Consider the following 13,794-nt stretch of genomic DNA (forward strand, 5'->3'; position numbering starts at 1 on the left):
TGTATGTATGTTTCCTAGAAGAAAGCAGAACCATGAGTAAACACCCAGTGAATAATTTGGGATGCTGATGAAATCAAGGAAGACTGGAAAAGCAACTTGTTGGGTGTGCTGTGGAGAGATTTCCTATAGTGGGCAGAAGGTTAGATAAAAGATTCTCTGAGGTGTCTTCTATCTCTGGGAATTTATGCTAGAAATGTCAACTTAATTAAGTTGCAGTGCCTGTCAACAATCCAAGGGCAAAAGTTTGCTCCAGATCTATAATCTAGCCTCATCATCTTAGGGGGAATGTGACCAAATATAGTATAACACTATCAGTATGAAAAGAATGAAATCCACACAGCCTGCATAATTATAGGTGCAGAGAAGAAGAAATTGATGACACAATATTAAGGTTTATTTTTGCCACCTAAAAACATGTCAACATCCTATTATCTTATTATCTCAGATTTTTATTCAATTCTATGACAGCTAAAAGTAACCATTATATCTGTCAATTAAAAGAAGAGAAACTGCTTATTGAAATTTTATAATTTGATCTATGACATGGAGTTGAACTGGAAGCACCTGCCAGTCTTCCTGATGTTCCAGATAGTATTTTGCTGCAAATTAATTAATCTAACTACATCTTGATTTTCTCACACTGCATTAGAAAGTATGTGCTCTTGGTCATAAACCGTGATGAAACTATAAGAACCATGTAATGAAACCTTATGGTTTGAGTTGTCTGGCTTGTCATAGAGATGAATATAGTGTAATTAAGCCACACTCTCTCCTTGCAGTAATGAAGGCACTGTTTGGGGGACTATGCCAGGGATAGGAGAATAAGTTGTCTATGGCACTCGAACGGTCTACACTATCCAAGTAAGGTAACCAGCTAAGGCACTTTCAAAGTAAAACCAAACAGAAAGTCACGGCAGATAATGCCACTTTCATCACTGGTAATTACTGGCCTTAGAGTTGTAATGAATGGCTGCTACAGAATAAAAGGTAGGTGGCAATTTATGCAACAGATCATTGTTCATCATCAGCAGTATGGGTGGCACTAAGCAACAGGCAGAATTATTTTTAAACCCGCGAGGTAAAGTAGATTAAAGGTATTATTAATAGGCTAGGCCTAAAGGAACAGTGTCTTAATTATGGACTCTTTTTCCTATCCTTTCTTAAAGATATTATATTTCTACAACTGATGAAGGACTAGATTAGGCTTAGGCTAGCAGTAGAGGGAACACTCATTGCTGCATTAAGATCAAAGAACCTTCCGAAATTTTGGTTGCTCCAAGTACCAGAATCAGCTGTCATTCTGTTGGAAGCAATAGGGAAAGGGTAGCTCACAACATTTTTTTAAAAAAGTATTTCTCAATCAGTCCACCATTTACTGGACTAGGCTACAGTGAACTGCATAATTTTATGGAATCTCGTTTTTCAGGGTATCTTGTTAACCAATGGGCTGACATTCTCTTTGCAGGAGCTCCACCAAGTGGTCATCCAGCTTGTGGGCGAAAGTCAGAAAAACAAATTAGGAATCCTAAGAAAGACTGACTGATAGCCGAGTAGAGCAGTCTGAAGGTAGATAAACGTGAACCCTCCATCCATAGGGAGATTCAGATACAGGCTTCATGTTTAGACAAGACATCTGCTTTTCCTCACCATTTGTTTTTGGTAACTTTCTGGTCCTTATATGAACTATGCCTGCCCTTTGACCTCATGACCCCATATGCTTTGAGCCCTCCATTTTCTCCTAATCAATTAGTCTCCTTCTGTCTTCCCATTTTCCCTGTTCAGCTCCACACACTGGTGTCCACTACTTAAATTATGCTTTCAATATTACTTTCAACTCTTAATCCAGCCATCCTGTTTCTCTGACTCTGGAACTGAGCAGCTGAGAGTTCTTGGAGAAAAATCACACAGCCATACCAATTGATGTCACTGTATGTTGTTGCTTTCTGACCAAGGCTGAGTCCTCAGTTATGGTGAAGGTGCTTCTGATCAACTGACAGTGGGTATTCCAAACATTTACTTCCCTTACTGTCAAAACCACCAACTCTTCTTACACTCAGCAAATGATGATTCTGTCCTTTTCATTGTGAAAAGGCAAGGGCAGAAAGTGAAAACGGCACCTTCCTCTCCCTCTTACTTATTCGCTTATTTATTGGCATTTTTACTTCTCCTTCCTGTTGGAAAAGGTGCCCATCTAACTCGAGGCTCATTTCTCAACCTGTAGATTGGATTCCATCCTCTTCTGTGTACTCAATGACTTTATTATATCAATCATCGCCCTCTTTCCTGTTTTACTTCAGAAAATAAACAGAACAGTGGTTTGTCTTATTGAAAATGAAAGCAAAAGTAAAATTACCTTGGCAGTTTTGGGTCTCTAATTATAAGCCAAAGAAACAAATTGAGAACAACTTATGGAAAAAATGATATTCATTGGAAATATACTGGTATAATGCAGAACAGAAGAAAATACTAAACAGTCAAGCTTCCTGAGGGCAGAAAGTACAGGACCACTGAAATGAAACCGTGGACATGCATAATCATGTATGTTTACTAAGGTTCAACTACCTTTCCTCCTTGTGTCACCACTTAAGATTTAGCTCCTAGGAAGGAAACATTTGATTGGCCAAGCCCACCAGAAACATGTGCAGAGGAGATGCTCCTGATACCTGCACCATTGAATTCCATAAGGCACAGTTCAGGGAACTTTGCTTTGTCCTTATTTTGTTTGATTTATCGGTAGCAGTTCTCCTTCTGGAGTCCTTCTCCTTTGTTTTCTGTGGCATTATTCTTTCCTTAAAAAGAAAAAAGATAATTCTTTTTAGTCTCCATTGTAGGTTCCCTTTTTTTCTGCTTAAACAGTAAGTGTTATCTTCCTCATGGGTTCAACTTCGATCACTGTTATATTACAAACTTCCTCCTGCCAAATCTTCGTTTTGAGTTTGCGATGGAACCTACGATTGAATTTCCAATAAAATTCAGTATATCTAAAAGTGAACTTATGTATTTCAAACCTGCGCTTTACTTGAATGCCACATTTTCATAAATGGCATATCTCTTATCCAGTCACCCAATCCACTTCCCTGGGAGTCTTCCTAGGTCACTCTCACTTATACTCAATCAATCCCTAATCCCTGTGGCTTTTAATTCCTTGGTATCTCTTGTTCTCCTCTTTCCTAAACTCATAACCACTTTTTAAATTAAGGTCTTAATGACTTCTCACCTAAATTGCTACATTAGCCTCCTCAAAAGGTTTCCTTACACATCATACTCCGTTTCTTACAGAGTGATCCTTCTAAAATGCTAATCTGCTCTGCAAACTCAGATTCAGTCCTTTATCTTTCAGGATAAACTTCAAGGCTTAACCCACACATTCTGTCTTTGGCCACTTTCCAAGCTTCAGGGATGGCTACTTCCTTACTGCTATATTGTAAAACAAGCAGGTTTCCAGTTGGAGGGACTAGAATTGTTTTTTAACCTTGACTGAATGTAAGAATTTCTGGGGACATATTAAACATGCAGATTCTTGGCCTGACCCTAAACATATTAAATTGGAATCTCCAGGAGTGGGGCTTATGTCTCTACTGATTTTTTTTTTTTTTTTTGAGACAGAGTTTTGCTCTTGTTGCCCAGGCTGGAGTGCAGGGGCGTGATCTCAGCTCACTGCAACCTCCACCTCCTGGGTTCAAGTGATTCTCCTGTCTCAGCCTCCTGAGTAGCTGGGATTACAAGTGCCCGCCACCACGCCCGGCTAATTTTTTGTATTTTTAGTAGAGACAGAGTTTCATCATGTTGGCCAGGCTGGTATCAAACTCCTGACCTCAGGTGATCCACCCGCCTCGGCCTCCCAAAGTGCAAGGATTACAGGCGTGAGCCACTGTGCCTGGCAGTCTCTACTGATTTTTATGATCAAGCCAGTTTGTGAATTAATGATTGACTGTTTCTAGGCAGTCCTTTTACTTATGCTGTTTGTTCTGCAATTCCCAATCCCCTTGTCCTTCAATAGTTTAGTTAGTGTCACTTTACAGGTGACTCTCATTCTTACTTAGAGGCCTCTTCTCTGTGTTCCTGTACCGCGTAGGACTATCTCTGTCTTAGTACCCATCACATAATATTTGACTAACTTACCTATCTTATAACTGCTCTAAAAACTTATCTTTGTTTTCCCAGTACATAAAAGACAAACAGTAGGCATTTGGCAAAAATTACTTTGATATGTAAAAACAAATAAAAAGCTCACTACACTTTTTGCTGTTATGGATTCTTTCTGTTGCTTTATCTCTAAGGAGTTACTCATAAGATGAATATTGTTCAATTACTTAAAAACACCATTATTACTATGATTCCTTTAAAATCATATTATAGAATAATATTTTTTGATATGTGAAAATATTATAATGTACTACTAAGGGAAAAATAGGCTAAAATTTATATAATATGACTTTTTTGGTAAAAATTTTAAAACAAATTAAGTTAAAAATGCATATATAAAAACATATTGAGAAGACATACATTGTAATTTTATTACTCTTTGATTATGAAATAATGGGTGATTTTGTATCTACTTTCTATCAGAAGTATGTACATCTAAAACTTTTTTTATTTGTATAAATTTAAGGGCACAAGTGCAGTTTTGTTACATGGATATTTTGGATAATGGTGAAGTCTGGGGCTTTTAGTGTGACCATCTTCTGAATAATGTACATCGCACCTATTAAGCCACTTTTCATCCCTCACTCCCCTCCCACCTTCCCATCCTTCTGAGTCTCCAGTGTCTCTTACTCCACACTCTATGTCCATGTGTACATGTTACATTGCTACCATTTGTAAGTGAGAACATGTAGTATTTGACTTTCTGTTTCTGAGTTATTTCACTTAATATAATGGCCTCCAGTTCTATCCATGCTACTGAAAAAGATGATTTCATTCTTTTTTATGGTTGACTAGTCATTCATTGTATGTACATATACCACAGTTTCTCTACTCATCCATTGACAGATACTTAGGTTGATTCTAAGTCTTTGTTACTGTGAACCATGCTGCAATAAACATGAGTACAGATATCTTTTCAAGATAAAGATTTCTTTTTCTTTGGGTAGATACCCGGTAGTGGGATTGCTGGATCAAATGGTAATTCAACTTTTAGTTCTTTGAGAAATTTCCATGCTATTTTCCAGAGAGGTTGTACTTATTTACACTCTCATCAACAGTGTATAAGCATTCCCTTTTCTCCACACCCTCACCCACATCTGTTGTTTTTTGACTTTTTATAATAGCCATCCTGGCTTGTGTAAGATGATATCTCATTGTAGTTTTAATTTGCATTTTTTTGATGATAAGTAATATTAAGCATTTTAACAATAAGCTTGTTGGCCATGTGTATATCTTTTGAGAAATGTCTGTTCATGTCCTTTGCCCACTTTTTAATGGGGTTGTTTTGTTATTGTTGTTGTTGAGCTGTTTGAGCTCCTTGTAAATTCTGGATATTAGCCCTCTTTCAGACATATAGTTTGCAAATATTTTCTCCTATCCTACAGGTTGTCTGTTCACTCTATTGATTGTTTCTTTTGCTGTGCAGAAGCCTTTGAGTTTAATTAAGTCCCATTTGTTTATTTTTGTTTTTGTTGCTTGCACTTTTGAGGTCTTAATCATGAATTCTTTGAGTAGACCAATGTCCAGAAGAGTTTTCCTTAGGTTTTCTTCCAGGATTTTTATAGTTCCAGGTGGAAGTATATAAATTTTATAATTAAAATATTATGATAAAAAGCATATACATACTCTCTTCCTCAATCTACTTTGAAGTAGTGTGCACATACACATACATGCACACACACTTTGCACACACATGACAAAATAAAAAGAAATATTTGAGTCCTCGAAAACTTAACTTTTCTATGGAAAGCCAAAAACTATTTGGTGAAAATGAAGTACTGAACTGATAAAGAATGGAATGAATATGTGAATAAAATGTGAATATGTGATAAGGAATAGAGTGAATAAGATAATTATCTACTAATTAGAAAAAAAAGACAGGTATGTTTGTAAACCTATCATGTAGGTATACAATTCTTTACAATTTGTGAGTGAAGAGGACTCAGGAAAGAATCTCTTGGGTTATCAGCCTCCTGGGCAAGAGGGCCAAACAGGAACAGATCTGGTCTGCAGCTCCCAGCAAGATCGACACAGAAGGTGGGTGATTTCTGCATTTTGGACTGAGGTACCTGGTTCAACTCATTGGGACTGGTTGGACAGTGTGTGCAGCCCACGGAGGGTGAGCTGAAGCAAGGTGGGGCGTTGCTTCACCCAGGAAGCGCAAGGGGTCTGGGAATTCTCTCCCCTACCCAAGGGAATCCGTAAAGGACTGTGCCTGAGGAACAGTGTACCCCAGCCCAGATACTGCACTTTTCTCATGGTCTTTGCAAACCACAGACCAGGAGATTCCCTCCAGTGTCTATGCCATCAGGGCCCTGGGTTTCAAGCACAAAACTGCACGGCCATTTGGGAGATACCAAGCTAGCTGCAGGAGTTTTTTATTCCATACCCCAGTGGCACCTAGAACACCAGCGAGACAGAACCATTCACTCTCCTGGAAAGGGAGCCGAAGCCAGGGAGCCAAGTGGTCTGGCTCGGTGGGTCCCACCCCAACACAGCCCAGCAAGCTAACATGGACTGAAATTCTCGCTGCCAACCTAGCAGTCTGAGGTCGACCTGGGACACTTGAGCTTGGTGTGGGGAGGGGCATCTGCCATTGCTGAGGCTTGAGTAGGCGGTTTTACCCTCACAGTGTAAACAAAGCATCCAGGAAGTTGGAACTGGGTGGAGCCCACCGCAACTCAGCAAGGCAGCTGTGGCCAGACTGCCTCTCTAGATTCCTCCTCTCTGGGCAAGGCATCTCTGAAAAATAGGGCAGCAGCCCCAGTCAGGGGCTTATAGATAAAACCCCCATCTCCCTGGGACAGAGCACCTGGGGGAAGGGGCGGCTGTGGGTGCAGCTTCAGCATTCTTAAATGTTCCTGCCTGCTGGCTCTGAAGAGAGCAGTGGATCTCCCAGCACAGTGCTCAAGCTCGGCTAAGGGTCAGACTGCCTCCTCAAGTGGGTCCCTGACCCCCATGTATCCTGGCTGGGAGACACCTCCCAGTAGGGTCTGAAGGACACCTCATACAGGAGAGCTCTGGCTGGCATCTGGCAGGTGCCCCTCTGGGACGAAGCTTCCAGAGGAAAGAATAGGCAGCAATCTTTGCTGTTCTGCAGCCTTCACTGGTAATACCCAGGCAAACAGGGTCTGGAGTGGACCTCCCACAAACTCCAGCAGACCTGCAGCAGAGGGTCCTGACTGTTAGAAGGTAGAAGGAAAACTAACAAAAAGAAAGGAATAGCACATCCACTCAGAGACATCATCCAAAGGTCACCAACATCAAAGACCAAAGGTAGATAAATTCACGAAGATGGGGAGAAACCAATGAAGGCTGAAAATTCCAAAAACCAGAATGACTCTTCTCCTCCAAAGGATTACAACTCCTCGCCAGCAAGGGAAGAAAACTGAATGGAGAAAGAGTTTGACAAATTGACAGAAGCAGGCTTCAGAAGGTGGGTAATAACAAACTGCTCTGAGCTAAAGGAGCATGTTTAACACAATGCAAGAAAGAACCTTGCATAGGAAGAACCTAAGAACCTTCAAAAACAAATGAGATGAATTGCTACCTAGAATAACCAGTTTAGAGAAGAACATAAATAACCTGACAGAGCTGAAAAACACAGCACGAGAACTTTGTGAAGCATACATAAGTATCAATAGCTGAATTGATCAAGTGGAAGAAAGGATATCAGAGATTGAAGATCAACTTAATAAGGTAAAGTGAGAAGACAAGTTTAGAGAAAAAAGAATGAAATGGAATGAACAAAGTCTCCAAGAAATATGGGACTATGTGAAAACACCAAATCTACATCTGATTGGTGTACTTGAAAGTGAAAGGGAGAATGGAACCAAGTTGGAAAACACTCTTCAGGATATTATCCAGGAGAACTTCCTCAACCTAGCAAGGCAGGCCAACATTCAAATTCAGGAAATACAGAGAACACCACAAAGATGCTCCTCGAGAATAGTAACCCCAAGACACATAATTGTCAGATTCACCAAGGTTGAAATGGAAGAAAAAATGTTAAGGGCTTCCAGAGAGAAAGGTTGGGTTACCCACAAAGGGAAGCCCATCAGACTAACAGCAGATCTCTCTGCAGAAACCCTACAAGACAGAAGACAGTGGGGGCCGATATTCAACATTCTTAAAAGAATTTTCAACCCAGAATTTCATATCCAGCCAAACTAAGTTTCATAAAAGAAGGAGAAATCAAATCCTTTACAGAAAAGCAAATGCTGAGAGATTTTGTCACCATCAGGCCTGCCTTACAAGAGCTCCTGAAGGAAGCACTAATCATGGAAAGGAACAACCGGTACCAGCCACTGCAAAAACACACCAAATTGTAAAGACCATCGATGTTATGAAGAAACTGGAACAACTAATGGGCAAAATAACCAGCTAGCATCATAATGACAGGATCAAATTCACACATAACAATATTAACCTTAAATGTAAACAGGCTAAATGCCCCAATTAAAAGACACAGACTAGCAAATTGGATAAAGAGTCAAGACCCATTGCTGTGCTGTATTCAGGAGACACATCTCACATGCAAAGACACACGTAGGCTCAAAATAAAGGGATGGAGGAATTTTTACCAAGTAAATGGAAAGAAAAACAAACAAACAAACAAAAATCAACACTTGCAATCCTAATCTCTGATAAAACAGACTTTAAACCAACAAAGATCAAAAAAGACAAAGAAGGGGATTACATAATGGTCAAGGGATCAATGCAACAAGAAGAGCTAACTCTCCTAAATATATATGCACCCAATACAGGAGCACCCAGACTCATAAAACAAGTTCTTAGAGACCTACAAAGAGACTTAGACTCCCACACAATAATAGTGGGGGACTTCAGCAACCCACTGTCAATATTAGATAGATCAATGTGACAGAAAATTAACAAGGATGTTCAGGACTTGAACTCAGCTTTGTACCAAGCTGACCTAATTGACATCTACAGAACTCTCCACCCCAAATCAACAGAATATACATTCTTCTCAGCAACTCATCACACTTATTCTAAATTTGACCACATAATTGGAAGTAAAACACTCCTCAACAAATGCAAAAGAATGGAAATCATAACAAACAGTCTCTCAGATGACAGTACAATCAAATTAGAACTCAGGATTAAGAAACTCACCCAAAACCGCACAATTACGTGGAAACTGAAAAACCTGCTCCTGAACGACTACTGGGTAAATAACAAAATGAAGGCAGAAATAAAGATGTTTTTCAAAACCAATGAGAACAAAGACACAGTGTACCAGAATCTCTGGGACACATTCAAAGCAGTGTGTAGAGGGAAATTAATAGCATTAAATGACCACAAGAGAAAGCAGGAAAGATCTAAAATTGACACCCTAACATCAAAATTAAAAGAACTAGAGAAGCAAGAACAAACAAATTCAAAAGCTAGCAGAAGACAAGAAATAACTAAGATCAGAGCAGAACTGAAGGAGGTAGAGACACAAAAAACCCTTCAAAAAAATCAATGAATCCAGGAGCTGTTTTTTTTTTTTGAAAAGATGAACAAAATAGATAGACTGCTAACCAGACTAATAAAGAAGAAAAGAGAGAAGAATCAAATAGAAATAATAAAAAATGATAAAGGGGATATCGCCACTGATCCCATAGAAATACAAACTACCATCAGAGAATACTATAAATACCTCTACGCAAATAAACGAGAAGAAATGGATAAATTCCTGGACAGTACACCCTCTCAAGTCTAAACCAGGAAGAAGTCGAATCCCTGAATAGACCAATAACAAGTTCTGAAATTGAGGCAGTAATTAATAGCTTACCAACCAAAAAAAGTCCAGGACCAGACAGATTCACAGCCGAATTCTACCAGAAGTACAAAGAGGAGCTGGTACCATTCCTTCTGAAACTATTCCAAACAATAGAAAAAGAGGGAATCCTCCCTAACTCATTTTATGAGACCAGCTCATCCTGACACCAAAACCTGGCAGAGACACGACAAAAAAAGAAAATTTCAGACCAATATCCTTGATGAACATCAATGCGAAAATCCTCAGTAAAATACTGGCAAACTGAACCTGGCAGCACATCAAAAAACTTATCCACCAAGATCAAGTTGGCTTCATCCCAGGGATGGAAGGCTGTTTTGACATACACAAATCAATAAACATAATCCATCACATAAACAGAACCAATGACAAAAACCACATGATTATCTCAATAGTTACAGGAAAGGCCTTTGAGAAAATTCAACAGCCCTTCATGCTAACCACTCTCAATAAACTAGGTATTGATGGAATGTATCTCAAAATAATAAGAGCTATTTATGACAAACCCACAGCCAATATCATACTGAATGGGCAAAAGCTGGAAGCATTCCCATTGTAGACCGGCACAAGACAAGGATGCCCTCTCTCACCACTCCTATTCAACATAGTATTGGAAGTTCTGGCTAAGGCAATCACACAAGAGAAAGAAATAAAGGGTATTCAAGTAGGAAAAGAGGAAGTCAAATTGTCCCTGTTTCAGATGACATGATTGTATATTTAGAAAACCCCACCGTCTCAACCCGAAATCTACCTAAGCTGATAAGCAACTTCAGCAAAATCTCAGGATACAAAATAAATATGCAAAAATCACAAGCATTCCTATACACCAATGACAAGCAAACAGAGAGCCAAATCATGAGTGAACTCCCATTCACAATTGCTACAAAGAGAGTAAAATACCTAGGAATAAAACTTACAAGAGATGCAAAGGACCTCTTCAAGGAGAACTACAAACCACTGCTCAAGGAAATAAGAGAGAATGCAAATAAATGGAAAAACATTCCATGCTCATGGATAGGAAGAATCAATATCGTGAAAATAGCCATACTGCCCAAAATAATTTATAGATTCAGTGCTATCCCCATCACGCTACTATTGACTTTCTTCATAGAATTGGAAAAAACTACTTTAAAACTTCATATGGAACCAAAAAAGAGCCTGCATAGCCAAGACAATCCTAAGCAAAAAGAACAAACCTGAAGGCATCACACTACCTGACTTCAAACTATACTACAAGGCTACAGTAACCAAAACAGCATGGTACTGGTACCAAAACCAATATATAGACCAATGCAACAAAACAGACACCTCAGAAATAACACCACACATCTACAACCATCTGATCTTTGATAAACCTGACAAAAACAAGCAATGGGGAAAGGATTCCCTATTTAATAAATGATGTTGGGAAAACTGGCTAGCCACATGCAGAAGACTGAAACTGGACCCCTTCCTTACACCTTCTACAAAAATCAACTCAAGATGGATTAAAGACTTACATGTAAGACCTAAAACCATAAAAATCCTAGCAGAAAACCTAGGCAATACCATTCCGGACATAGGCATGGGCAAAGACTTCATGTCTAAAACACCAAAACAATGGCAACAAAAGCCAAAATTGACAACTGGGATCTAATTAAACTCAAGAGCTTCTGCACAGCAAAAGAAGCTATCATCAGAGTGAACAGGCAACCTACAGAATGGGAGAAAATTTTTGCAATTTAGCCACCTGACAAAGGGCTAATATCCAGTATCTACAAAGAACTTAAATTTACAAGAAAAAAATGAACAACCCCATCAAAAAGTGGGCAAAGGATATGAACAGACACTTCTCAAAAGAAGACATTTATGCAGCCAACAAACATGAAAAAAAGCTTATCATCACTGGTCATTAGAGAAATGCAAATCAAAACCACAATGAGATACCATCTCATGCCAGTTAGAATGGCAATCATTAAAATGTCAGGAAACAATAGATGCTGGAGAGGATGTGGAGAAATAGGAATGCTTTTACACTGTTGGTGATAGTGTAAATTAGTTCAACCATTGTGGAAGACAGTGTGGCGATTCCTCAAGGATCTAGAACTAGAAATACCATTTGACCTAGCAATCCCATTACTGGGTATATACCCAAAGGATTATAAATCATTCTACTATAAAGACACATGCACACGTATGTTTATTGTGGCACTATTCCCAGTAGCAAATACTTGGAACTAACCTAAATGTCCAACAATGATAGACTGGATAAAGAAAACATGGCACATATACACCATGGAATACTATGCAGCCATAAAAAAGAATGAGTTCATGTCCTTTGCAGGGGCATGGACGAAGCTGGAAACCATCATTCCCAGCAAACTAACGCAAGAACAGAAAACCAAACACTGCGTGTTCTCACTCATAAGTGGGAGTTGAACAATGAAAACACATGGACACAGGGAGGGGAACATCACACACCAGGGCCTGTCAGCGGGTGCGGGGCTAGGAGAGGGATAGAATTAGGGGAAATAGCTAATGTAGGTGATGGGTTGATGGGTGCAGCAAACCACCATGGCACGCATATACCTATGTAACAAAACTGCATGTTCTGCACATGTACCCCAGAACTTATAGTATAATAATAATAATAATAATAATAAAGAATCTCTCTCCAGGGAGAATTATTTTCTCAAGGCAAACACTGGGTGGGGGCTTGAGGTTCCTAAGGATTATAAGCTAGTTAAATACAAGATGTTAGTGCTTAAAGCAATTTAGGCAAGAGTGCAGTTAACATCGTCAGCTGCCAAAAGGAAGAAGTCTTGTTGAAATAGATTAAAACAGGAGGAAGGAAGGGCCTAAAAGATATTTAAATTGATCACAAAGTCTGGTATCTACCTTGAAGCTGGTGATGTTGAAAGACTTTGTCTACTGTTACAGACTAAATATTTGTGTCCCCTAAAGTTCCTGTGTTGAAATCCTAACCCCCAAAGTGATGGTATTAAGAGTTGGGGTCTTTTAGAAGATGATTAAGTCTTGATCACCGAGCCCTCATGAAGGGAAGCAAGCCCTCACCAGATACCAAATCTGCTAGCACCTTAATCTTGAACCTTCCAGCCTCCAGAACTGTGAGAAGTAAGTGTTTGTTGTTTATAAGTTATCCTATTTGTTTATTTTGAAATGGAGTCTTGCTCTGTCACCCAAGCTGGAGTGCAGCAGTGCCATCTCAGCTCACTGCAACCTCCGCCGCCTGGGTTCAAGCGATTCTCCTGCCTCAGCCCCCCAAGTAGCTGGGACTATAGGTATGCACCACCATGCCTAGCTAATTTTTGTATTTTTAATAGAGACAGGGTTTTGCCATGTTGGGCAGGCTGGTCTCGAACTCCTGACCTCAGGTGATCGGCCCACCTCAGCCTCCCAAAGTGCTGGGATTACAGGTTCGAGCCACTGCGCCTGGCCTAAAGTTATCCAGTTTATAATATTTTGTTATAGCAGCTCAGACAGACTGAGATACCCTCTTTTCTGTGTTTCTTGAAAGAGTGCTTCATATTTAATTTTTCCTACATGTTTCTGCAAATGTTAGTAAATAGAATGTACTCTATAGGGAAACAATTTTTTAATAGAATAGGAATAATTGGGTGGTGTGTGAGCCACTTCTGCTCTTTCTTAGCTCTGGAGGAAAGTTCAGCGACATTGTAATGTCTCAAAGCACCACCCTTCACTGGTGGAAGCACACAAATGAGTGATACTGTCTTAGAGGAAATATATCAACTTTTCTTCAGTTGGCCTTAATCCTAACTTTGCAAATGTCCTAAGAAGAAATAAAACAATAGTTCATTTATGAATGTGACTCAAGCCTTTAT

At 39.5% G+C, this 13,794-nt stretch overlaps 3 annotated features.

The window, feature by feature from the left end:
• Positions 2,233–2,292: an enhancer, noted in NCBI's record as "active region_22840". NCBI's record gives its function as "activates an Ori minimal core promoter by ATAC-STARR-seq in GM12878 lymphoblastoid cells {active_cell/tissue: GM12878}" and the evidence as "EXISTENCE:reporter gene assay evidence [ECO:0000049][PMID:35858748]".
• Positions 5,916–6,580: an enhancer, noted in NCBI's record as "H3K27ac-H3K4me1 hESC enhancer chr5:98372811-98373475 (GRCh37/hg19 assembly coordinates)". NCBI's record gives its function as "activates a minimal SCP1, AML or CMV promoter by ChIP-STARR-seq in primed H9 embryonic stem cells {active_cell/tissue: H9 hESC(primed)}" and the evidence as "EXISTENCE:reporter gene assay evidence [ECO:0000049][PMID:30033119]".
• Positions 6,581–7,244: an enhancer, noted in NCBI's record as "H3K27ac-H3K4me1 hESC enhancer chr5:98373476-98374139 (GRCh37/hg19 assembly coordinates)". NCBI's record gives its function as "activates a minimal SCP1, AML or CMV promoter by ChIP-STARR-seq in primed H9 embryonic stem cells {active_cell/tissue: H9 hESC(primed)}" and the evidence as "EXISTENCE:reporter gene assay evidence [ECO:0000049][PMID:30033119]".

Source organism: Homo sapiens, chromosome 5 (assembly GCF_000001405.40).
Source record: "Homo sapiens chromosome 5, GRCh38.p14 Primary Assembly".
In the NCBI taxonomy this organism is placed as follows: Eukaryota; Metazoa; Chordata; class Mammalia; order Primates; family Hominidae; genus Homo; species Homo sapiens.